This window comes from Homo sapiens, chromosome 17 (assembly GCF_000001405.40).
Source record: "Homo sapiens chromosome 17, GRCh38.p14 Primary Assembly".
Classification (NCBI taxonomy): domain Eukaryota; kingdom Metazoa; phylum Chordata; class Mammalia; order Primates; family Hominidae; genus Homo; species Homo sapiens.
Genome location: NC_000017.11, coordinates 1,190,746 through 1,215,717, shown reverse-complemented (window position 1 = coordinate 1,215,717; position 24,972 = coordinate 1,190,746). Strand labels below are relative to the sequence as shown.

Sequence of the window (24,972 nt, the reverse complement as noted above, 5' to 3'; positions counted from 1 at the left end):
CGCCATCGTCATCATGGCCCGTTCTCAATGAGCTGCTGGGTACACCTCCCAGACGGGGTGGCGGCCGGGCAGAGGCTGCACTCTGGGCACTTTGGGAGGCCAAGGCAGGCGGCTAGGAGGTGGAGGTTATAGTGAGCCGAGATCACGCCACTGCACTCCAGCCTGGGCACCATTGAGCACTCAGTGAACGAGACTCCGTCCGCAATCCCGGCACCTCGGGAGGCCGAGGCTGGCAGATCACTCGCGGCTAGGAGCTGGAGACCAGCCCGGCCAACACAGCGAAACCCCGTCTCCACCAAAAAAATACGAAAACCAGTCAGGCATGGCAGCGCGCGCCTGCAATCGCAGGCACTCGGCAGGCTGAGGCAGGAGAATCAGGCAGGGAGCTTGCAGTGAGCCGAGATGGCAGCAGTACAGTCCAGCTTCGGCTCGGCATCAGAGGGAGACCGTGGAGAGAGAGGGAGAGGGAGAGCTCTTTCTTTTCTTTTTTTTTTTTTTGAGACAGAGTCTTGCTCTGTCACCCAGGCTAGAGTGTAGTGGGGAGATCTAGGCTCACTGCAATCTCTGCCTCCTGGGTTCAAGTGATTCTCCTGCCTCAGCCTCCTGAGTAGTTGGGACTACAGGCACACACCATCACGCCTACCTAATTTCTGTATGTTTTGTAGAAATGGGGTTTTGCCATGTTGCCCAGGGTGGTCTTAAACACCTGGACTCAAGCAATCTGCCTGCCTCCACCTCCTAAAGTGCTGGGACTATAGGCGTGAGCCACCCCACCTGGTCAAGAGCAATACTTTTTTGGTCTGAGTATTTTATTTGGAGAGAAATAGAACTTGGCCATTGAGCTTATATACACCGAGATAGCTGCCACATTACAGGGAAAAACTATGTACAATCAAATATATATATTTTTTTCTTTGAGGTGGAGTTTCGCTCTTGTTGCCTAGGCTGGAGTGCAGTGGCACGATCTTGGCTCGCTGCAACATCCGCCTCCCAGGTTCAAGCGATTCTCCTGCCTCAGCCTCCCGAGTAGCTGGGATTACAGGCATGTGCCACTACGCCTGGCTAATTTTGTATTTTTAGTAGAGATGGGGTTTCTCCATGTTGGTCAAGCTGGTCTCGAACTCCTGACGTCAGGTGATCTACCTGCCTCAGCCTCCCAAAGTGCTGGGATTACAGGCATGAGCCACTGCACCCGGCCAGGATCAGAATTTTTATATTCAAATCTTAAATCTCTCCTTTATATTCCTTTAAATTGCTATTAACTGTAGATATTCAGCATTGTTAGGGTAATTTAAACTTGTTAAGGAATAATTTAAATATTTTGCCTAAGTCATCCCTGGGGTGGTGGTTACTCATGGAGAGGAAATATATATATATACACACACATCCTAGTATCATAGATTCCAAAAACTGATGAAAGCCAAAATAAATGTTCATTTTAGGTTGAAGGGACCTGAAGTTAGCTTATCTTTAGGTTTAAGGTGGTGGTGGGGGGCGGGGAAGTCCAAGTCCTGTGTAACATTTCACATCTCAGGCCGGGAGCGGTGGCTCATGCCTGTAATCCCAGCACTTTGGGAGCCCGAGGCGGGTGGATCACAAGATCAGGAGTTCGAGACCAGCCTGACCAACATGATGAAACCTCTTCTCTACTAAAAATACAAAATTAGCCGGGCGTGGTGGCGGGCGCCTGTAATCCCAGCTACTCGGGAGGCTGAGGCAGGAGAATCACTTGAACCCGGGAGGCGGAGGATGCAGTGAGCCGAGATTGTGCCATTGCACTCCAGCCTGGGCGATAGGGCGAGACTCGGTCTCAAAAAACAAAAAACAAACCATTTCACATCTCTCCAAAATAGAAACAGCACCTTAGACTGCCTTGTTTTCACAGTTTTGTCGCTTTGGAACCATAGAGTCTGTCATCTTTGAAGAAGTGAAATCACTGTGGGGTTAAGACAGTATCTTTGCACAGTTTGCGTGCAATCTCTGAGAAGCTAGCACAGAAGGACTTAGGAGTTAAGACCGTAACCTTTGGCCGGGCGTGGTGCCTCACGCCTGTAATCCCAGCACTTTCGGAGGCCGAGGCGGGTGAGTCACGAGGTCAGGAGTTTGAGACCAGCCTGACCAACATGGTGAAACCCCGCCTCTACTTAAAAAAATACAAAAATTAGCCGGGCATAGTGGCATGCACCTGTAATCCAAGCTACTCAGGAGGCTGAGGCAGGAGAATGGTGTGGATCTGGGAGGCGGAGGTTGCAGTGAGCCGAGATTGCACCCCTGCACTCCAGCCTGGGGGACAGAGCGAGACTCCGTCTCAAAAAAAAGACTGTGACCTTCAAGCTCTGCAGCCTTAATTCACACCAAATAGTACCTGCTTAGTCACCTAAACTATGGCCACGTCTTCCTGCTCTTTGGATGCCCCTTAGTTTGCTAGTTGGGTCTCAAATCATGGTCTTTAGGTGAATTAATGGCCGGCACAGTGTTTGGGAGAAAAACAGAATCTGCAGCTTCACATCTCATCATTTCCTGGGCTGAGCTGTCTCCCACCCTGAGCATATTACAAAATTAACAGGTTTTAGAAGCTGAAAAGTGGAAATAACCAGCTTTCGTTTCTGGGCTGCAGCTTGTTTAGTGCCACATCTTGGAGAAAGCTCTGTGCGTGGTTAGATGGGTTGACTCTGATTGTCTGCAGCTCCATTCAAGGATTTGTTGGGGGAATTTCACACTCCTTTAGCTGTTTGGTAAAAGGGTGAAAAATTTCTTAAGTCCAAATTCCCATCCCAGATACAGCTTCTCCCCAAGTATCTCTTTATCTCTCTCTCTCTTTTTTTTTTTTAGACAGTGTCTCACTCTGTTGCCCAGGCTGGAGTGAAGTGGAGAGATTTTGGCTCACTGCAACCTCCAACTTCTGGGCTCAAGCGATTCTCCTGTCTCAGCCTCCCAAGTAGCTGAGATTACAGGCGTCCGCCACCACACTTGGCTAATTTTGTACTTTTAGTAAAGATGGAGTTTTTCCATGTTGATCAGGCTGGTCTCAAACTCCCGACCTCAGGTGATCTGCTGGCCTCGGCCTCCCAAAGTGCTGGGATTACAGGCGTGAGCCACCATGCCCGGCCAATTTTTGTATTTTTAGTAGAGACGAGGTTTCACCATGTTGGCCAGGCCAGTCTCGAGCTCCTGACCTCAAATGATCCGCCCGCCTCAGCCTCTCAGAGTGCTGGGATTACAGGTGTGAACCACTGTGCCTGGCGTCTCTTTTTGTTTTGTTTTGTTGTTGTTTTTTTTTCTCTTTTGAGACAGTGTCATGGTCTATTGCCCAGGCTGGAGAGCAGTGGCATGATCAGGGCTCACTGCAGCCTCAAACTCCTGTGCTCAAGCGAGCCTCCCACTTCAGCCTCTCAAGTAGCTGGGACCACAGGCATGTACCACCACACCTGGCTAATCCTTATAAAACTTTTGTAGAGATGAGGTCTTGCTCTGTTGCCCAGGCTGGTCTCGAACTCCCAGACTCGAGAGATCTTCCTGCCTTGGCCTCCCAAAGTACTGGGACTATAGGCGTGAGCCACCATGCCCAGCCTCTTTGTATCTCAGTTTAACACTGTTTCATTCTTCTTCTTGTTATAGTAATTTTTTTTTTTTTCGAGATGGGGTCTTGCTCTTGTCGCCTAGGCTAGAGTGCAGCGGTGCAATCTCGGCTCACTGCAACCTCCACCTCCCGAGTTCAAGCAATTCTTGTGCCTCAGCCTCCCGAGTAGCTGGGATTACAGGCTTGTGCCACCACACCAGGCTAATTTTTTGTATTTTTAGTAGAGACGGGGTTTCACCATCTTGGCCAGGCTGGTCTCAAACTCCCGACCTCAAGCAATCAGCCTGCCTTGGCCTCTCGAAGTGCTGGGATTACAGGCATGAGCCACCGTGGCCGGCCTTGTTACAGTAATTTACATATTGTTCCCACCTTGCTAGCATTGCTGAAGGCAGATACCACCTTATGGCAGTAAAGGATGCAGGTTCTGGGGTCAGACTGCCCACGTTTGAACCTCAGCTCTACCCCTTACTAGCTGTGAGGATTTAAAAACGTTATTTCACGTCTCTGTGCCTTGGATATCTTATCTGTAAAATGGATGTGTTAATAGTGTCTATTTCCTGGAATGTTGTGGGGATTAATGAGGAAATCTATGGTAAAAAAATCACGGTGAATAATCAATCAATAATGACTCCTATGATTCACGCTTTGTTTTCTAAGCACCTGCCACAGGACCTGGAATAATTTAGATAAGGACTGACTGCAAGTCAGACACCTCTGCAGGAACAGCAGAAGAAGATCGATTTTTGGTGGCTAGCTCCACTGAAATGGAATCCCACTGGGTCAGAGCAAAACCTGGAATCCATATTTTTATTTATTTTTCATTATTTATTTATTTATTTATTTATTTATTCATTTTTTTGAGACGGAGCCTCACTCTGTCGCCCAGGCTGGAAAGAAGTGGAGAGATTTCTGCTCACTGCAACCTCTGCCTCCTGGGCTCAAGCAATTCTCCTGCCTCAGCCTCCTGAGTAGCTGGGACTATGGGCGTCTGCCACCACGCCTGGCTAATTTTTGTATTTTTTAGTAGAGACGGGGTTTCACCATATTGGACAGGCTGGTCTCAAACTCCTGACCTCATGATCCGTCCGCCTTGGCCTCCCAAAGTGCTGGGATTATAGGCGTGAGCCACCACGCTCGGCCAGGAATCTCTGTTTTTAACAAGCTCGGGAGATTTTTCAGCAGCCAGTCCAGCACCCCAGAGTTTGGCAGGCTTTGCCAAGTGCTTGATATGAGGTGGTAAATGTCTGGCACCTTTAAAATATAGGGCCCTTTCCGTCCATCTGGCCCTACAGGTTGATGTTAAAAGGATGCAAAAATACGGTTCTAAATGTCCTTAAGAGGCTAAGGTTGGTCTAAGCAAAGCATGGAGGAAAAAGCCCTTTTGAGTTTGTGTGTGAGTAGATAGGAGTTGCCAGTTGGTTGATAAAGTGATAAAGTAATCCTTTTGTGTTAGGAGCCAGGAAGCAGAGAGAGAGGAAACAGCCCAAAGTGATTTTTGGCTTGAGAGCAAACACAATAGCAGAAAGCTGAGTGACACCTGGACGATAGTGCAGAGAAGCTGAGTGACACCTGGACGATAGTGCAGACAAGCTGAGTGATACGCGGACAATAGCATGGAGAAACTGAGTGACACCTGGACGATAGTGCAGAGAAGCTGAGTGACACCTGGACGATAGTGCAGACAAGCTGAGTGATACGCGGACAACAGCATGGAGAAACTGAGTGACACCTGGACGATAGTGCAGAGAAGCTGAGTGATAACGTGGACGATAGTGCGGAGAAGCTGGGTAGCAGAGATGGGGTTTCACCATGTTGGCCAGGCTGGTCTTGAACTCTTGACCTCAGGTGATTCACCCACCTCGGCCTCCCAAAGAGTTGGGATTACAGGTGTGAGCCACGGCGCCCGGCTTAGGTCAGAACTTTCTACGCAGGTAAAAAGTGACAGCCCCCACAGTACCAACACAGCTGGGCTGAGCTTCCGCCTCTCTAGATTCTGTTACTTTCTACCTCTACTTTCTCCCTGTCTCTCTAAGAGATCAGCCGTCACTAATTTAGTGCTTTACTAATTTAGGTGTCTTTGCCATGAAAGATATGTGTTTTCTTTTTTTAATTTGTTGGAGGTTCTGAAGGCACTTTGGCATATGTATCTGTTTTCTTCAGCAGCAAAGATCATCGTGGAGTTAAGATGGCAGCTTTGTTGTGATTCGTAAATTTGCTGAATTTGTAAATAACTGGGGATACCTGCTGGACTTTGATAAATGCAACTTTTTCCAGTGCTTAAAAGAATTGCTGCAGAAAATTTAGAGTGATTATACCTCCAAACTGCTCAATGAAAAAGGTCAACAAAACAGTATAATTATCTATGTATATGTGTAACTCGTATGTGTGTGGGGTGTCCACGTCACCAAGTATTAGAAAGTTAAGAGAGAAGGATGTGGACAATAAAACACCACCCACTTCAAAGCAGGTGCAGAGAGTAAGGCATTGTATGTCTGATTTTATGACCACGAGAGGTCAGTTCTGGGCTACCATAAACTCTATCTGGAAGAAAGGGATTCAGGCACCATTCAAGCAAACTTTGGCTGAGCATGGTGGCTCACTGGGAGGCCGAGACAGGTGAATCACCTTAGTCCAGGAGTTCGAGACCAGCCTGGCCAACATGGCAAAACCCTGTCTCTATTAAAAATACAAAAATTAGCTAGGCGTGGTGGCGCATGCCTGTAATCCCAGCTACTTGGGAGGCTGAGGCAGGAAAATGGCTTGAACCCAGGAGGTGGAGGTTGCGGTGAGCCGAGATCACACCACTGCACTCCAGCCTGAAGGACAGAGTAAGACGGTCTCAAAAAAAAAAAGAAAGAAACAAACAGGTTAAAAGAGAAGGATGTGAACAATAAAACACCACCCACTTCAACGCAGCTGCAGAGAGTAAAACACTGTATGTCTGATTTTATGACTGTAAGTTCCAGGCTCCCATGAACTCTATCAATTCCAAGCTCCCATGAACTCCATCCGGAAGAAAGGGATTCAGGCACCATGAAGGCAAACTTTATTGGCACCTGCATTGAGCCGAGCAGTGAACCAAGGGAAAGAGTTCAAAATTCTGCTTCAGGAGCCTTCAGTGTAACTGTGGTACTAGGCTAGCAAACAGGTGTTCACTACATACATGTATGTACAAGAGAGACCCATACTAAGCACTTGCCGTCTTTAACTGACTTGGCAGGCACAAAGCAGGCTTTTTTTTTTTTTTTTTGAGACGGAGTCTCACACTCTCACCCAGGCTGGAGCGCAGTGGCATGATCTCGGCTCACTGCAAGCTCCACCTCCCGGGTTCATGCCATTCTCCTGCCTCAGCCTCCCGAGTAGCTGGGACTACAGGCGCCCGCCACCACACCCGGCTAATTTTTTGTATTTTTAGTAGAGATGGGGTTTCACCGTGTTAGCCAGGATGGTTTCGATCTCCCGACCTCGTGATCCGCCCGCCTCGGCCTCCCAAAGTGCTGGGATAAGAGGCGTGAGCCACTGTGCCCGGCCGGCAGCTCCCTCTTGAACCTCTCCCTTACAGAGTCAACAAGGGAGCAGTGGTCAGCACTTCTCTACCGCGACGTTAGCAGAGAACTCGAATCTCATTAGTAGCAAGGACTTCTCTGCCACAGATGTGGCTCTGAGACTGGTTCTTCACAGGCTGACAGGGGACCGTGGCATGCAGTGATGGTGTGGGAATCACCCGATCGAGACGCAGCACATGCTGCTGCTGTTCCTGGAGAGGAGAATGTCAATTCCTCAGCTGGCCAAGGGCACTTCACACTGGGGTGCCCTGCGTTGCTGCTCCTGACACCTAGTTCCTTCGGGTCACAGGCAGAGCTGCCTCCTGTGTGTCAGTTGCCCAGGAAGGCCAGGAAGAACAAGTTCTAGTATCCACCATTTCCTTTCCACCCAGGGACTCATCTGGGGGTCGAGCAACTTCTCTTTTATAAACACTCATAACTCAATGGGTCTGCTACACCCTCATTCCTAGACAAGAGCAGGGAGGCCATCTCTGATATCAATGGCCCCAAAGTGGTTGATCTGGACAGGTGCGGTGGCTCCGGCCTGTAATCCCAGCACTTTGGGAGGCCGAAGCGGGTGGATCACCTGAGGTCGGGAGTTTGAGACCATCCTGGCCAACATGGTGAAACCCCATCTCTACTAAAAATACAAAAATTAGGCTGGTGCAGTGGCAGGCGCCTTGTAATCCCAGCTACTCGGGAGGCTGAGGCAGGAGAATCGCTTGAACCCGGGAGGCGGAGGTTGCAGTGAGCCGAGATCGCACCTCTGCACTCCAGCCTGGGCAACAGAGCGAGACTCTGTCTCAAAAACAAAACAACAAACAAACAAAAAACAAAGTTACTGATCTTCTAAGAGAGGCTGTGCAAGGAATTACAAAGTCATAAGGTCTGTGATTCCAACAGTTTCCTTTTTTCCCCCACTTCTCTTTTTTTTTTTTTTTTTGAGACGGAGTTTCGCTCATGTTGCCCAGGCTGGAGTGTACTGGCGCCATCTCGGCTCACTGCAACTTCCACCTCCCGAGTTCAAGCAATTCTCCTGGCTCAGCCTCCTGAGTAGCTGGGATTACAGGCGCCTGCCACCATTCCCAGCTAATTTTATATTTTTAGCAGAGATGGGGTTTCGCCATGTTGGCCAGGCTGGTCTCGAACTCCTGAGCTCAGGTGATCCGCCCGCCTCAGCCTCCCAAAGTGCTGGGATTACAGGTGTGAGCCACTGCACACGGCCAAATATATGCATTTTAAATACAAATAGATATTGTAAAATTATCCTTCAGAAAAGTTGATCCAATTTATATTCTCACCTTACTTCTTTTTGAGAGAATCTGTTCACATTTTTTTTTTTGAGACACGTCTCACTGTTGCCCAGGCTGGAGTGCCAGTGGCACAATCACAGCTCACTGGCACCCTTGAACTCCTGGGCTCAAGCAATCCTTCCACCTTAGCCTGTGGAGTAGTAGCTGGGACTATAGGCACGAACCACAATGCCTGGCTTTTTTTTTTGTTTGTTTTGAGATGGAGTCTCACTCTGTTGTCCAGGCTGGAGTGCAGTGGTGAGATCTCAGCTCACTGCCACCTCCACCTCCCGGGTTCAAGCAATTCTCCTGCCTCAGCTCCCGAGTAGCTGGGATTACAGGCGCATGCCACCACGCCCAGCTAAATTTTGTATTTTAAGTAGAGACGGGGTTTTACCATGTTGGCCAGGGTGGTCTCGAACTCCTGGCCTCAGGTGATCCACCCACCTTGGTCTCCCAAAGTGCTGGGATGACAAGCATGAGCCACCGCGCCCAGCCTAATTTTTGTATGTTTTTGTAGAGATGGAGTTTCACAAATTTCACAAAATATTTTTGGAGACATGGTGAAACCCAATATCTGGTGAGCTGGTTTGCAGACCAACTCAGGCTAGCCTCAAACTCCTGGACTCAAGCAATCCACCCACCTTGGCCATTCAAGATCAACCCATCTAACCACAAGCACAGAGCTTTCTCCAAGATGTGGCACTAAACAAGCTGCAGCCCAGAAACGAAAGCTGGTTATTTCCACTTTTCAGTTTCCAAATGCCTGTCATCCTGGCTACTCAGGAGGCTGAGACAGGAGAACCGCTTGAGCCCTGGAGTCCAAGGCTGCAAGTAAGCTGTCATAGTGCCACTGCACTCCAGCCTGGGTGGCAGAGCAAGAACCTGTCTCTAATATTAATAATAATAAATTAATGTAGTGAATCATGCAGATTGTCTAATATTGAGCTAGGCTTGTATTCCTGGGATAAACCCTGTGTGATCTAAGGGGTCAAGGGATGCTCGGTTGTGCACGCAACAACCCAGTCACGTGGCAGTTACACTATAAACGCATCAGTGTCTAACCCATCACAGTGATGTGACGTCAGTGGTCACATGAGAGCTCACTGCAGCCTCAACCTCTCTGGCTCAAGTGATCCTCCCGAGTGTGCCACCACACCCAGCTAATTTTGTTTCTCTTTTTTTTGAGACGGAGTCTCCTTCTGTCACCAGGCTGGAGGGCAGTGGCGCGATCTCAGCTCACTGCAACCGCCACCTCCTGGGTTCAAATAATTCTCCTGCCTCAGCCTCCCAAGTAGCTGGGACTACAGGTGCGCGCCACCACGCCCAGCTAATTTTTGTATTTTTTTTTTCTTTTTTCGAGTCGGAGTCTTGCTCTGGCGCCAGGCTGGAGTGCAGTGGCGCAATCTCAGCTCACTGCAACCGCCACCTCCTGGTTCAAGTGATTCTCCTGCCGCAGCCTTCTGAGTAGCTGGGACTACAGGCATGCACCACCACATCCAGCTAATTTTTCTATTTTTAGCAGAGATGGGGTTTCACCATGTTGGCCAGGATGGTCTCCGTCTCTTGATCTTGTGATCTGCCCGCCTGGGCCTCCCAGAGTGCTGGGATTACAGGCGTGAGCCGCCGCGCCTGGCCAATTTTGGTATTTTTTGTAGAGATGAAGTCTTACTATGTTGTCCAGGCTGGTCTCAAACTGCTGGGTCAAGCAGTCCTCCTGCCTTGGCCTCCCAAAGTTCTGGGATTACAGACGTGAGCCACTGCACCCAGCCAATGCATTTTCAATAGAAAAGATTCAAACGCTACTGAAATCTTGGAAATGAAGCCTGTCATTTCCTGTCACCTCTCCCCCCGACCCCACTCCTCTCTCCAGAAGGAGCCTACAGAACAGGCTGTTACAGATGATACATTCTCAGGCCTTTCACGGCATGCTTAGAAGTATTTGTATCTCATTTGTGCACTGTTTCATTTATTCTCACAACCAGAGAGGTTTGTATTATTAGCCCCCATTTGATGTATGAGAAAACTAAGGCTTAAGAATATTGGGTAATGTGCCAAAGGGCCCAGAGCTCATTACAGTCTCTTAATAATGGGGATAAAACCGGGTATGGTGGCTCAGGCCTGCAATCCCAGCACTTTGGGAGGCTGAGGTGGGCGGGTCACCTGAGGTCAGGAGTTTGAGAGCTGCCTGGCTTACATGGTGAAACCTCATGTCTACTAAAAATACAAAAATTAGCCGGGCGTGGTGGTGCACCCGTTATCCCAGCTACTTGGGAGGCTGAGGCAGGAGAATCACTTTAACCCAGGAGGCAGAGGATGCAGTGAGCCGAGATCACGCCCTTGCACTCCAGCCTGGGTGATAGCGCGAGACTCAGTCTCAAAAAAAAAAAAAAAAAAAAGAAAAAGAAAAAGAAAAGAAAAAAAGAGGTTCTGAGAAATGTGTAGATGATTTCACTGTTGTGCAAGCATCATAGTATATTTTACACAAACCTAAATACAAAAATCACCTGGCTGTATATTTCACACAAACCTAAATACTAACATACAGCCCAGGTACATAGTAGGCTCAATGGTATAGCCCACTATGTGATATAGATATGATATATGATATAGACAGCTTACTGCTCCTAGGTACGAACCTGTATAGCAGGTCACTATACTGAATACTATAGGCCGTTGTAACACAATGGAAAATGTTTGTGTATCTGAACACGTCTAAGCGTACAAAAGGTACAGGAAAAAATACAGGATTATAATCTTCTGGACCACCTTTGTATATATAGTCCTTTCAGGTCATATGGCTCAGGACTGTAGTTTGAACCCATGTTTCTCATTTTTTTTGTTTGTTTGTTTTTTGAGACAGAGTCTCGCTGTGTCGCCCATGCTGGAGCGCAGTGGCGCAATCTCGGCTCACTGCAACCTCTGCCTCCCGGGTTCAAGCGATTCTCCTGCCTCAGCCTCCCGAGTAGCTGGGATTACAGGCGCGCACCACCACGCCCGGATAATGTTTTGTATTTTAGTAGAGACGGGGTTTCACCATGCCGTCCAGGCTGGTCTCGAACTCCCAACCTCAGGTGATCCGCCCGCCTCGTCCTCCCAAAGTGCTGGGATGACAGGCCTGAGCCACCGCGCCCGGCCCACATTAAGTCTTTAAATGCCCCGCTGGGGACTAAGATGCCCCTGGTGGAATCCAGGAGCCCTGGTGGTGGCTTCTGCGGGGCCCAGGCCGAGATGAGGGAGAGGCCGGGAGGAGTGGACTGGGCTGGCCCGTGGGCCGGGGGTCGGTGGTTTCTCGTGCCCTCCCCTCGGCTCCAGGGATTTCCCCCGTGAAGCCGGCACCGAGGTCCGGACAGGAAAGCACTTTGAGCCATGGATTTATGTAAAATCCAGATGAGGAGCTGGAGCTGGTTTCTCCTCCCGCGTCAGGCGGCGCCACCGGAACGTCCTGGCGGGACACACACTCACGCCACACCCCCTGGCGGGTCTCTCGCCACGCGGAGAGAGCGCCCGAGCCCCCTTCGCCCCGCGAGGTTCCCAGGGTGTAGGCAGGCCCGGGGGGCGCCATCCGCCTTCCTGCGCGAGTCACGGACACGACCCGGGCCCTGAAGGCGTCTGCATCACCGCTCCCGCCGAAACCTCAGAAACCGAGGCCGAACACTCGCCGGGCTCCTCGCAGCGGCGGCGGGCGGTGACTCAGGGGTTCCCGACTGGATTAACCGCGCCTGGAGGACTAGGCAGCCCGGGCGACTTACCGCAGCCTCATCACGTGACCAGGACCTGCGGCCCCCGCCCCCGCAGACTCCGTCCCCGCGGGCCCCGCCCCCGCAGACTCCGTCCCCGCGGGCCCCGCCCCCGCAGACTCCGTCCCCGCGGGCCCCGCCCCCGCAGACTCCGCCCCCCGCGGGCCCCGCCCCCTCAAGGCCCCGCCCCCACGGGGGACCGCCCCGCAGGCTCCTCCCCGCGGACCCCGCCCCCCATGGACTCCGCCCCCACGAGCCGGGCCACGCCCCCTGAGGACTGCGCGGGAGCCTGGCTGGATCCGAAGCCCCTTCCAAGGAGTCTCCCCAGGATCCTCTGCTCACACCGGCAAGTGAAAGACCTTTTAAAAGGAATGGGGCTGGGCGCGATGGCTCACGCCTGTCATCCCAGCACTCTGGGAGGCCGAGGCGGGCGGATCACCTGAGGTCGGGAGTTCGAGACCAGCCTGGCCAACATGATGAAACCTCGTCGCTACTAAAAATACAAAATTAGCCAGGCGTGGTGGTGCATGCCTTTAATCCCACCTACTTGGGAGGCTGAGGCAGGAGAATTGCTTGAACTCGGGAGGCGGAGGTTGTAGTGAACCGAGATCACACCACTGTACTGTAGCCTGGGGGACAGAGCAAGACTCCATCTTAAAAAAAAAAAAAAAGTAATGGCAAAAACAGCAATTACTTTTGCACCAACCTAAATAGTAGGGTTCGAGGAGAGCTGAGCTGACCACTTTCTCCCAAGCAGTAGAAGCTTCCTTGTTGAAACAAGAGGGCCATTTGTCTCCAAGGTCTCTGTTTCTAGCCGCAGTGTTTCCTAACCCTAAACCTAGGCCTATTTCATCAAGGGTCAGCGGATTAGGAGTAGATGGCTATGGATCACCTTCCCTTTCCTAACAGGGTCTTCATTTCATGCAACATTTGCTGCCAGCTCATATGTGAAGATGTGAAAAGGGGGCAGCTGGGGCCTTTCAGAAGAGGGTCAGGAATCTGAGCCTCTTTGTCCATAGGGGAAATACTCTGAATGCAACTTCATCATGAGTGGGCACGTGTGTGTTTGGGGACTGTTCGCTGAAGAGTATAGGAAAGAGACAGCCGGGATCCCCTTTGAATTTGCAATTTAGAATGAGTGATCTAAGATGAGTAATAAGAGGTTGGAGATTCTCTTTTGAATGTGCGCTCTGGGGCTCTGGTATGGCTGCATCTGTTATAAAGAGGTTCTTGGGCCAGGTGCGGTGTCTCACACCTGTAATCCCAGCACTTTGGGAGGCCGAAGGGGGTGGATCACCTGAGGTCGGGAGTTGGAGACCAGCCTAGCCAACATGGGGAAACCCCATCTATGCTAAAAATACAAAAATTAGCTGGGCATGGTGGTGCCCCAACCTGGGCAACAGAGCGGCTACAGAGCCAGACTCTGTTTCGAAAAATAAATAAATAAAAGGAGGCAAAGGGATTATGTTTTTCTAGATGGATCTTCTTTCTCTTAATCTAGCTGCTCTTGAATAGCAAAGTATGGGAGGAACACACTTATGAAGAATAGCGTTGCTTTGACTTTTTAAGAAACACTAGTAAGCAGGATGGGCGCGGTGGCTCACGCCTGTAATCCCAGCACTTTGGGAGGCCGACGCGGGCGGATCACGAGGTCAGGAGATCGAGAGCATCCTGGCTAACACGGTGAAACCCCATCTCTACTAAACATACAAAAAAATTAGCCGGGCGTGGTGGTGGGCGCCTGTTGTCCCAGCTACTCAGGAGGCTGAGGCAGGAGAATGGCGTGAACGTGGGAGGCAGAGGTTGCAGTGAGCCAGAGATCACGCCACTGCACACCAGCCTGGGCAACAGAGCGAGACTCTCTCAAAAAAACAAACAAACAAGCAAAAATGCTAGTAAGCTACCTCTGCACTGTCAATGAGACACCCCCAGAAAACAAAGCGTGTGGTTTTGCTTTGGTGACCTTCACACCACGCACAATATCGGGGTTGCCGTCATCTCTTCGGCATCGGGGGGCCTGTTTCACTTTTTGTCTTGTTTTTACCCTCCGGAGAGAGGTGTTGTGTGTGTGTGTACCCGTGTTATACACGCTCACATAAAAGTCAGCCAGCATGATGATAATAGCTGATACTGCGTGAGTGCTAACGAGGGAACAGGCGCTGTGCGGGGTGTCTTCTTTTCACGATCTCGCTGGGTCTTGTTAACAATCTCAGTTAAAGCACTTACCGTCATTACTGAAGAGACTGAAGCTCAGAGAGGTTCAATACGTCGTGACACCAGGCCGTGAACCGGGTCTGTTCTGTCTCTAGAACCCACATCCTGACCTAAAGCATTGTGCTTTGCATCCGGAGCAGCAGCCTCGTGGACACCGGCCCCGTGAAGCTATTGCTGATGTGAACAGTCTTGAGTGATGCGGCTGCCTGAGGGGCACCAAAGCCTCCCCGGCTGCTCCTCTGATCATTTTATTCCTATCAGGGTTTGGGGCTTGGGCCCTGAATCCAAACAGAACTTTCCCTTTACAAGTCTTCCTGTACTTTCCTCCCCCCATCCTCCTTAGTTTCCATTGCTGAAAGGCTGATGTCATTAACACAGCCCCTCCTGAGGCAGGTGGGTGTCCCTGGCCAACCCCAAGGCTTTCTCCCAGTCTCTAAGCTGTAGCCCTGCCCAGAGGAAGGAAGAGCCCCAGGACCTTGTCAGGAGCAATTCTCAGCTTTTTACTGGGGATGTTATAGATGAGGCTTTATCTCTGGTGTCCCTGGACGGTGCTGATAACCCAGGTCATGTTCCTGTCTCCCCGAAGTAACCGGAGACATCTTGCACCATGAACAAACCGGGATGACGTGCCCGGGTTTCCACCTGGGGATCCATCTTTGTGTCTGCACCACGGAGGCCCCGAATAAAGTGAGGTCATAGCTCATCTAGGTGAAACTTGTTCTGCTTGATGTAACGGGAGGAGGGGAGAAAATGAAGCTGGACTGGCCAAAGATCAGGCTGAGAAATTCCTGGGCACAGTCTGGAGAGCCACTCCAATTACACCTGTCCCTCCATTTTCATGGGGGATTGGCCCCAGGACCCCTGGCAGATACCAGAATCCCAGGACGCCCAAGTCTCTTATATAAGGTGCTGTAATAGTTACATGTAACCTAATCACGTCTCCCATAGACTTTATTTAAAAAAATTTTTTTTAATGGAGACAGTGTCTTGCTATGTTGCCCAGGCTGGTCTTGAACTCCTGGCTTCAAGCGATCGTCCGAAAGTGTTGGGATTACAGGCGTGAGTCACCATGCCTGCCCCCGACCCCCGTGTACTTTAACTTATCTCTAGGTTATTTTTAATACCTAATACATTGCAAATGCTATGTGGTTGTTATGCTGTATTATTTGTATTTTTTATTTTTGTGGTGTTTTTTTTTAATTGTTTTCCTCCCAAATATTTTTGATCTGTGGTTGGTTGAATCTGAGGGTGCCCTTGGATAGGGATAGTGTGGCTTCCAGCCAGGTAGAGAAGGCCAACTATAAAACTTTGTAAAGAGCTCTATGGTTGCAGCACACCAACATGGCACATGTATACATATGTAACAGACCTGCACGTTGTGCACATGTACCCTAAAATTTAAAGTATAATAAAAAAAAAAAGAAAAAAGAGCTCTATTATATGCATACAAAAAAAGCTGGAAAATGCTAATTGGGGTGGTGTATTTTATGGGTCACATTTTACTCTTTTATTGTCTAAAAGTTTTTAAAATTCTGGCTTTATGACTTATATGACAGAAAAAAAAAACTGAATAAACTTATAGTTTTAAAAAATTGGCCAGGTGCTGTGGCTCACACCTGTAATCCCACCACTTTGGGCAGCTGAGGTGGGTGGATCACCTGAGGTCAGGAGTTCAACTGAGGTCAGCCTGGCCAACATGGTGAAACCCTGTCTCTACTGAAAATGCAAAAATTAGCCGGGCGTGGTGGCGGGCGTCTGTAATCCTAGCTACTTGGGAGGCTGAGGCAGGAGAATTGCTTGAACCCGGGAGGGGGAGGCTGCGGTGAGAGTCCGTCTCTCCCTTCCACCCCCAAAAATATCCCACCAGCTACAGTGAGCTGTGATTGCACCACTGCACTCCAGCTGGGGAACAGAGCAAGATCCTGTTTCAAAAAAACCAGAAAACAAAAACCCCAACAGCCTGTATGTTTTGTACCTTCCGTGTGGCCTCTTGGTGGTCTATGACATGGGTACAGATGAGCCCCTGCCAGTGTGTTAATTGCAGCGTGGCTTCTGAGCCAGCAGCCCGGGTGATCTTCCTAGCCGGGCCCTGGCTCACTGCCTCTGTTTCCCCCAGTCTTCCCTGGCACCTGCAGAGCCAGAGAGAGGTTTTGTTTTCCAGAACCAGGCATTCGTGACCCTGACCACTCCCGAGCAAAGTTTTCACACCTTCCCCGGCCCCCTCAGAGGAATGAAGGTCTGGGAGGAGATAGGGCCTCGTCCTTGGAACCAGGCACCTCTTTTTTTTTTTTTCGAGTCAGAGTCCCGCTCTGTTGCCCAGGCTGGAGTGCAATGGCACCGTCTCGGCTCACTGCAACCTCTGCCTCCCAGGTTCAAACGATTCTTCTACCTCAGCCTCCCAAGTAGCTGGGATTGGCCAGGCGCGGTAGCTCACGCCTGTAATCCCAGCACTTTGGGAGGCTGAGGCGGGCGGATCCCAAGTTCAGGAGATCATAACCATCCTGGCTAACACGGTGAAACCCACCTCTATTAAAAAAAAAAAAATTTGCCAGGTGTGGTGGTGGGCAACTGTAGTCCCAGGTACTGGAGAGGCTGAGGCAGGAGAATGGCGTGAACCCGGGAGGCGGAGCTTGCAGTGAGCCGAGATGGCATCACTACACTCCAGCCTGGGCAACAGAGCGAGACTCCATCTCAAAAACAAAAACAAAAAACCAAGTAGCTGGGATCACAGGTGTACACCGCCACGCCTGGTTAATATTGTATTTTTAGTAGAGATGGGGTTTCACCATGAGGCCAGGCTGGTCTCGAACTCCTGATCTCAGGTGATCCACCCGCCTCAGCCTCCCAAAGTGCTGGGATTATAGGTTTGAGCCACTGTGCCTGGCCGGAACCAGGCAGCTTTGATTGCAGAATCAGGCAGAGGCCAGGTGGGAAGTTGCCGTCTGTTGGTGTCTCAGGCCAAGCTCTCCTTGTCCAGACAGAACCTCTTCCTTTTTGGTCCTGAAAGTCACACTAAAAATCAGCAGCAGCTCGGCCTTGGGCAACGTGCCACGTGTACCGACGTTGGGGTTAGTGGTCTTTGCAGGAAGTCGAGGTTGTTTGTGGGCCTGGAAGGAAATGTGGCCTGCCTGCATGTACAGCCTCATGTGTGGCCTCTGGGAGGGGGAGCAGACAGAACCCGCAGCCCCAGAGACTGGGAGGCTTCTCTGTGGCAGCTTCCTCATTTCTGGTTAGTTGTGGCAGGGGGCAGATACAGTCTCTTTTGCAAAAGCAGCTCCTTTATGTCCAGAAGGCGACAGCTCAGCTCTCCTTTAGGGCCCCCAAAGAACTAACCCACAGCGTGGGGCTGCGGCCAGCCGGGCGCAGCAGCAGCGGCAGTGTTCCTGTCTCAGCTGCCTGCAGCATGGCTTTGATCTGACAGTCAGCAGGGTGTATTTGCCCCCAAAGCCAGTGGTCTGAGGAGCCCAGCTCCAGTTAGGTCTTAGGTGGGGACACCATAGATACTGCTCTCTGGGGAAAACCAAGTCACGGTCTGGTTTGGGTGAGCGCTGATCTTCCCTCCAGTGTGATCCCAAGCTCCCTGGGATGTTGGCTATAGGGAGCAATCAGGAGCCACTCCCCAAGACTCAGGGGACCAGCCTGGGGTCCAGGAAAGAAGACTTCCCAGCACCCTCCCCCTCTCTGCTGGTGGTCTGGCACTCCCCTCATGTGACAGGCATGTGGCTTTTGGGAGGAAAGAATCTTTCACAATCAGACAGAAACAGCAACTGGGAAAATAACTCATGCAGGGGTTTGGGCAATGAGTGTCTAGAAGGCTGTGGGCCACGAGAAGGGGATTAGGGTGAGGTTTCATCAGAGCTGTGGCTAAGATCCGAGGAGGCTCCTAGAGCTCAAGGCTTCAGAATGACCGGTCAGGAGCCAGAGGGATGGTGTCTTTCTCTCTCCAACCTCTCAGACCAAAAATGGGGCATGGGGCTGACCCTGCCCAATTTTTTTCAAACCCGCAGAGACAGAGGTTTGAAATCATTCACTCCAGCATTAAGTGGAGGTGGCTCCAGCTCAGAGCCTCCAGCCAAACCCTCCCTGCGCCACAGCAGGAGATCACGGCCTGTTTCCCAGAGGCTCTGAAATAGGAGTGACTCTCCTTAAAGTGCTCCTTGCAATGCTCATCCGAGCCTGGGCCAGGCAGGGCTGGGGGCTGCCTTGAAGAAAGAGATGCCCCCGAGATCCGATACCCTCTGGAGCGTTGCAGGATGCGTCTGTCCAGGAGGCACTGCAGGGGAGCCGGGGTTCCCGGAGCATTTGGGAAGGTTTCTGAGCAGCACAGGGTCCTTCCTTAGGAAGGCGGATCTTGGCCGGGTGCGGTGGCTCACGCCTGTCATCCCAGCACTTTGGGAGGCCGAGGCGGATGGATCACGAGGTCAGGAGATTGAGACCATCCTGGCTAACACGGTGAAACCCCATCTCTACTAAAAATACAAAAAATTAGCCGGGCACGGTGGTGGGCGCCTGTAGTCCCAGCTACTCGGGAGGCTGAGGCAGGAGAATGGCATGAACCCGGGAGGCGGAGCTTGCGGTGAGCCAGGATCGCGCCACTGCACTCCAGCCTGGGCGACAGAGCAAGACTCCGTCTCAAAAAAAAAAAAAAAAGGAAGGTTGGATCTCCTGTAGCTTCCTGTGGTGCCGTCTTCTCCCAGGGACTCGAGCCTTGTTCAGAGCACTGACAGGATTTTTCAGAAAGTTCTGTGTGTGTGGCTGCTCTTTGGTAAGCCCAGGGCAACAGAGTCATCAACATTTAGGGAGGGGGTGGGTGAGGCAGGATGTAGAGTTAATACCCAGTTTTGTCCTATGTTCCTCTGAGAAGTTAGCTAAGAAATCTTTTCTAAATTAAATTTAATTAATTAATTTGTTTTTTGGGCCAGAGTTTTCACTCTTGTCACCCAGGCTGGAGTGCAGTGGTGTGATGTCAGCTCACTGTGACCTCCACCTCCTGGGTTCAAGTGATTCTCCTGCCTCAGCCTCCCGAGTAGCTGGGATTACAGGCACGTGCCACCATGCCCAGCTAATTTTTGTATTTGTAGTAGAAAGAGGGTTTCGCCATGTTGGCCAGGCTGGTCTTGAACTCCTGACCTCAGGTGATCCGCCTGCCTCGGCCTCCCAAAGTGCCGGGATTATAGGCGTGAGCCACCGCACCTTGCCTATTTTTTTTTTTTTTTTTGAGACAGAATCTCGCTCTGTTGCTCAGGCTGGAGTGCAGTGTCGTGATCTCGGCTCACTGCAACCTTCTCCTTCTTGGTTCAAGCGATCCTCGTGCCTCAGCCACCTGAGTACCTGGGATTACAGGCACCTGCTACCATGCCTGGCTAATTTTTGTATTTTTAGTAGAGATGGGGTTTTGCCATGTTGCCCAGGCTCGTCTCGCACTCCTGACCTCAAGTGATCCCTGACCTCAAGTGATCTCTCCCCACAATCCCAACTTGCCTTCCCAAAGTTCTGGGATTACAGGCGTGAGCCACCGCGCCGGCCAATAATTTTTTTTTTTTGAGACAGAGTCTCGCTCTGTTGCGCAGGCTGGAGTGCAGTGACACGATCTCGGCTCACTGCAACCTTTGCCTCCCGGGTTCACACCATTCTCCTGCCTCAGCCTCCTGTGTAGCTGGGACTACAGGCGCCCACCACCACGCCCGGCTAATTTGTTGTATTTTTAGTAGAGACGGGGTTTCACCGTGTTAGCCAGGATGGTCTCGATCTCCTGACCTCGTGATCCACCCGCCTCGGCCTCCCACAGTGCTGGGATGACAGGCGTGAGCCACTGCCCAGCCAATAATTTTCTTTAAAATGCTCCTTACGCTACTTGCTGAGCCTGGGTCAGGCAGGGCTGGGGGCTGCCTTTGGGAGAGAGATACACCAGAGACTAGTTAATCACTGTAGCAGTAGAAAACACCCTTAAGGGCCGGGCCTGATGGCTCACGCCTGTAATCCCAGCACTTGGAGAGGCCAAGGTGGGAGGATCCTTTGAGGCCAGGACTTTTTTTTTTTTTTGAGACAGTCTCATTCTGTCGCCCAGGCTGGAGTGCTGTGGCGCGATCTCCGCTCACTGCAAGCTCCGCCTTCCGGGTTCACGCCATTCTCCTGCCTCAGCCTCCCGAGTAGCTGGGACTACAGGCGCCCGCCACTGCGCCCGGCTAATTTTTTGTATTTTTAGTAGAGACGGGGTTTCACCGTGTTAGCCAGGATGGTCTCGATCTCCTGACCTCGTGATCCGCCCGCCTCGGCCTCCCAAAGTGCTGGGATTACAGGCGTGAGCCACCGCGCCTGGCCTGAGGCCAGGACTTCAAGAGCAGCCTGGGCAACATAGTGAGGTTCTGTCTGTACAAAATTAAAAAAAAAATTAGGGTCGGGCGCGGTGGCTCACACCTGTAATTCCAGCACTTTAGGAGGCCGAGGTGGGTGAATCACCTGAGTCAGGAGTTCGAGACCAGTCTGGCCAACATGGCGAAACCCTGTCTCTACTAAAAATACAAAATTTTTAGGGCATGGTGGCACATGCCTGTAATCCCAGCTACTAGGGGGGCTGAGGCAGGAGGATTGCTTGAACCCGGGAGGTGGAGGTTGCAGTGAGCTGAGACCGCACCACTGCACTCCAGCCTGGGCAACAGAGCGAGACTCCATCTTAAAAAAAAAAAAATTAGCTGGGTGTGGTGGTGCATGCCTGTAGTCCTAGCTATGCAAGAAGTTGAGGCAGGGGGATGGCTTGAGCCTGGGAGGTCGAGACTGTAGTGAGCTATGATTGCACCACTACACTCCAGTCTGGGCGATAGAGTGAGACTTGTCTCTAAAAAATAAAGAAGGCTGGGCGAAGTGTCTCACACCTGTAATCCCAGCACTTTGGGAAGACGAGGCAGGCAGATCACCTGAGGTCAGGAGTTGAGACCAGCATGGCCAACATGGTGAAACCCCTCTCTACTAAAAATACAAAACAAAACAAAAAAATAGCTGGGCGTGGTGGCGTGTACCTGTAATCTTAGCTACTTGGGAGGCTGAGGCAAGAGAATTACTTGAACCCGGGAGGCGGAGGTTGCAGTGAGCCAAGATCGTGCCATTGCACTCCAGCCTGGGCGACAGAGAGAGACTCTGTCTCAATCAATCAATCAAAATATAAATAAATAAAAAAAAACAAAGGAAACACCCTTGCCACCAGAGATCCTCCAGGTACAAACCTCATGTTCAAGGAGAAATCAAAAGACCCAGGAGCTTGTCAGATTTCAGTAGAGGAGAAAGAGGATGGAAATTCATCTTTGTGTCTTCCTTCCTCTGCCACTTCCCCTGGAGAGTAAGCTTTAAGAGCTGCAGTGGCCAGGCGCGGGGCTCACGCCTGTTATCCCAGCACTTTGAGAGGCCAAGGTGGGCAGATCACGAGGTCAGGAGATCAAAACCATCCTGGCTAACACGGTGAAACCCCGTCTCTATTAAAAATACAAAAAAAAAATTAGCTGGGCGTGGTGGCGGGTGCCTGTAGTCCCAGTTATTCAGGAGGCTGAGGCAGGTGAATCGCTTCAACCTGGGAGGCGGAGGATGCAGTGAGCCGAGATTGTGCCACTGCACTCCACACTCCAGCCTGGGGGACAGAGGGAGACTCTATCTCAAACATAAAAACACACAAACAAAAAGGGCTGCACTGATGTGCTTGAATTAGCGTCAGTTGCCAGTACTCCCTGGCGTGCTGGAAACCGAGCTCTTCCTGAGTGAATGTCGGGCGGCATCTGGTCAGGATGCTTTCCTGAAGCTTCAGGACTGGTGGCCAGGTACAATTGCTCTGGACCGAGCCAGACCCGAGTGAGAACTTGGCTCTGTCACTCACTAGCAGTGTGAACTTGAGCCTCTTCTGTAAAGCGGGCGTGGTGACTGTGGCTTCCACATAGAGAGGCTGCTTGCGAAGAGTGAAGGTTACGTGCTTAACAGGGTGCCTAGAACGTAAATACTGGCGATGCTCGGGACACGTCGGCCGAAGGGCGTTCAGCAAACTCGCCGGGAGAGCGGGGGAGTCCTGAATCCTTGTGGGTATTGAGGGGGAGGGGGTGTCCCAGAAAGGCTTCTCTATAAGGTGGATCTAAGAAAAGCTGCTAATTCTGTTGTTTTCCTGAATTCATGCTGAGGCCACACGTTAGATTAGTAGCAGTTTCTATATTCGCCCCCAGTTCCCAAAAGAACCTTCTCCACAGTCATCCATTCTAGCTCTTCGCTCCATTTCCACGTCTGCCTCTGTGCAAGTTTTTGTTTTGTTTTGTTTTTTGTTTTGAGATAGAGTTTCGCTCTTTTTGCTCAGGCTGGAGTGCAATGGCGCAATCTCGGCTCACTACAGCCTCCGCCTCCTGGGTTCAAGGGATTCTCCTGCCTCAGCCTCCCCAGTAGCTGGGATTACAGGCGCCCGCCACCACACCCCACTAATTTTCTATTTTTAGTAGAGAGGGGGTTTCACCATATTGGTCAGGCTGCTCTCAAACTCCCAACCTCAGGTGATCCACCTGCCTCAGCCTCCCAAAGTGCTGGGATTATAGGTGCCTTCCACCACGCCCAGCTATTTTTTTGTATTTTTAGTAGAGACGGGGTTTCACCATGTTGGCCAGGCTGGTCTTGAACTCGTGGCCTCGGGTGATCCTCCTGCCTCGGCCTCCCAAAGTGCTGGAATTACAGGTGCCTTCCACCATGCCCAGCTAATTTTTTGTATTTTTAGCAGAGACGGGATTTCACCATGTTGGCCAGGCTGGTCTTGAACTCGTGGCCTCAGGTGATCCGCCCACCTCGGCCTCCCAGAATGCTGGGATTACAGGTGTGAGCCCCCGTGCCCAGCTCACATTCTTTCTAGAAGCTTTTAGTCATCAGCTCAGTTTGAAGTGGTACCTCCCTCCTGCCCCCTCCATAACTCACTGTCCAGACCACTGTCTGTCTTTCCCTCTCTGTGATTTCTGGGCATGTCTGAAGTCTATTATCATAAGCAGCCTGGGAAAAGGAACTCTGGTTTATACAGTAGGGCTCAGGGAATATTCAGTGAAATAATAAGTAACTTTTCTGCAGGGCGCCGTGGCTCATGCCTGTAATCCCAGCACTTTGGGAGGATGAGGCAGGAGGATTGCTTGAGCCTACGAGTTCGAGACCAGCCTGGGTAACATAGTGAGACTCTGGCTCTACAAAATAATAATAATAATAACTTTTCTAGCCCTGAAAACCCATTAAACTTCCTGGAATATAGGAACTGAAGGGCGGGAAACAGGAAAGTTTCCCCCTTCCTTTATCAGCTACTGCCTGGGACTTACATCTCTTCGTGTCGAGGTGAGAACATCAAGGGACAGACAGGGAAAGGCAGTTCTTCAGAGTCACACAGCAAGTTAGTGGCAGAACCAGCAGCTGGATTCAGGCTGTGCTCGGTCGAGCGCTCTTTCCCTCCTGTTGGAGAAAGGCAGCAGAGTGTTGAGGGGCTCATGTGTGGCTCCTGGAGCGGTCGTGTGGCACGGTGACAATGAAGTGATTTAATACATGCAGAGTCCTGACGGCAGCCTGGGCGCAGGTAGCAGGTGCAAGTGTTTGCTGCCTCGTTTCTATGTTACCCTCTGTTCTTCTTCCACACCCCTACTGCTTTCAACAGGCCCCTCATTTCAGGAGACAGAAGAACCCTGACACTATTGAATATGTCAGAACAGGCCAGGTGCTCACGCCTGGAGTCCCAGCACTTTGGGAGGCCAAGGCAGGTGGATCACCTGAGGTCAGGAGTTCGAGACCAGCCTGACCAACATGGAGAAACCCCGTTTCTACTAAAAATACAAAATTGCTGGGCATGGTGGCGGGCGCCTGTAGTCCCAGCTACTCGGGAGGCTGAGACAGGAGAATCGCTTGAACCCGGGAGGTGGAGGTTGCAGTGAGCTGAGATTGCGCCACTGCACTCCAGCCTGGGCAACAGAGGGAGACTCTGTCTCAAAAAAAAAAAAAAAAAAAAAGAAAAGAAAAATGCTGGAACATCCAGAACATCGTTACTAGGCGGGGGTGAGAAGCTGGTGAGAAGCTGGCAGGAAGCTTGGCGGGAGGCTGGCGGGAAGCTGGCAGACCAACCGCCGTCTGCTGGGGTGGCTTTCTGGATCTTTACAAACTCGAGGCCCGAGAACCGGATCTTGATTTGACATTGGTTGTTTTGTTTATTTCTTTGTTTTGGTGACGGGAACATGGAAAGGAGCCTCTCCCCTGGGCACAGGCCCCCAGCAGACCTGGAGTCTGGTGTCGCACTGTATAGCGCCCTCGGGCCGGCGTGGTGGTTACCATGGCCCAGCGCAATCTGCAGCCGCAGAAGTCGTGCCCAAGCCCTGTCTGTCAGGCCCTGCAGACTCGCTCAGGCCAGCCCCTTGGGAGCGTGAGGGCCCAGAATCCATTTCTATCATATTTCTCCCATCATTGAACTGAAAGCCAGATTTTCCATCTGTCTGGTTGGAGGTTCATCAAAGTCATTCCTGGGAGCTGGTGACTCACAGCTTCGCCTGCAGCGCCGTGGGGCAGAGGGGTTGAGCATACCGTGAGCAACCAGCATCTTCTTTCTCGGAATCCCAGCAGACGGC

At 51.2% G+C, this 24,972-nt stretch overlaps 1 protein-coding gene across 1 annotated transcript in view, besides 6 other annotated features; it reads left to right on the top strand.

Moving 5' to 3' along the window:
- Nucleotides 1–24,972, top strand: part of ABR (ABR activator of RhoGEF and GTPase) — a 226,204-nt gene that overhangs the window by 14,005 nt on the left and 187,227 nt on the right. The window lies entirely within an intron of this gene.
- Nucleotides 16,062–16,111: an enhancer, noted in NCBI's record as "active region_11446". NCBI's record gives its function as "activates an Ori minimal core promoter by ATAC-STARR-seq in GM12878 lymphoblastoid cells {active_cell/tissue: GM12878}" and the evidence as "EXISTENCE:reporter gene assay evidence [ECO:0000049][PMID:35858748]".
- Nucleotides 17,228–17,367: an enhancer, noted in NCBI's record as "active region_11445". NCBI's record gives its function as "activates an Ori minimal core promoter by ATAC-STARR-seq in GM12878 lymphoblastoid cells {active_cell/tissue: GM12878}" and the evidence as "EXISTENCE:reporter gene assay evidence [ECO:0000049][PMID:35858748]".
- Nucleotides 17,228–17,432: a biological region, named in NCBI's record as "MPRA-validated peak2673 silencer".
- Nucleotides 17,232–17,432: a silencer, noted in NCBI's record as "peak2673 fragment used in MPRA reporter construct". NCBI's record gives its function as "represses an SCP1 promoter by STARR-seq MPRAs in K562 erythroleukemia cells {active_cell/tissue: K562}" and the evidence as "EXISTENCE:reporter gene assay evidence [ECO:0000049][PMID:32103011]".
- Nucleotides 17,478–17,657: an enhancer, noted in NCBI's record as "active region_11444". NCBI's record gives its function as "activates an Ori minimal core promoter by ATAC-STARR-seq in GM12878 lymphoblastoid cells {active_cell/tissue: GM12878}" and the evidence as "EXISTENCE:reporter gene assay evidence [ECO:0000049][PMID:35858748]".
- Nucleotides 17,688–17,737: an enhancer, noted in NCBI's record as "active region_11443". NCBI's record gives its function as "activates an Ori minimal core promoter by ATAC-STARR-seq in GM12878 lymphoblastoid cells {active_cell/tissue: GM12878}" and the evidence as "EXISTENCE:reporter gene assay evidence [ECO:0000049][PMID:35858748]".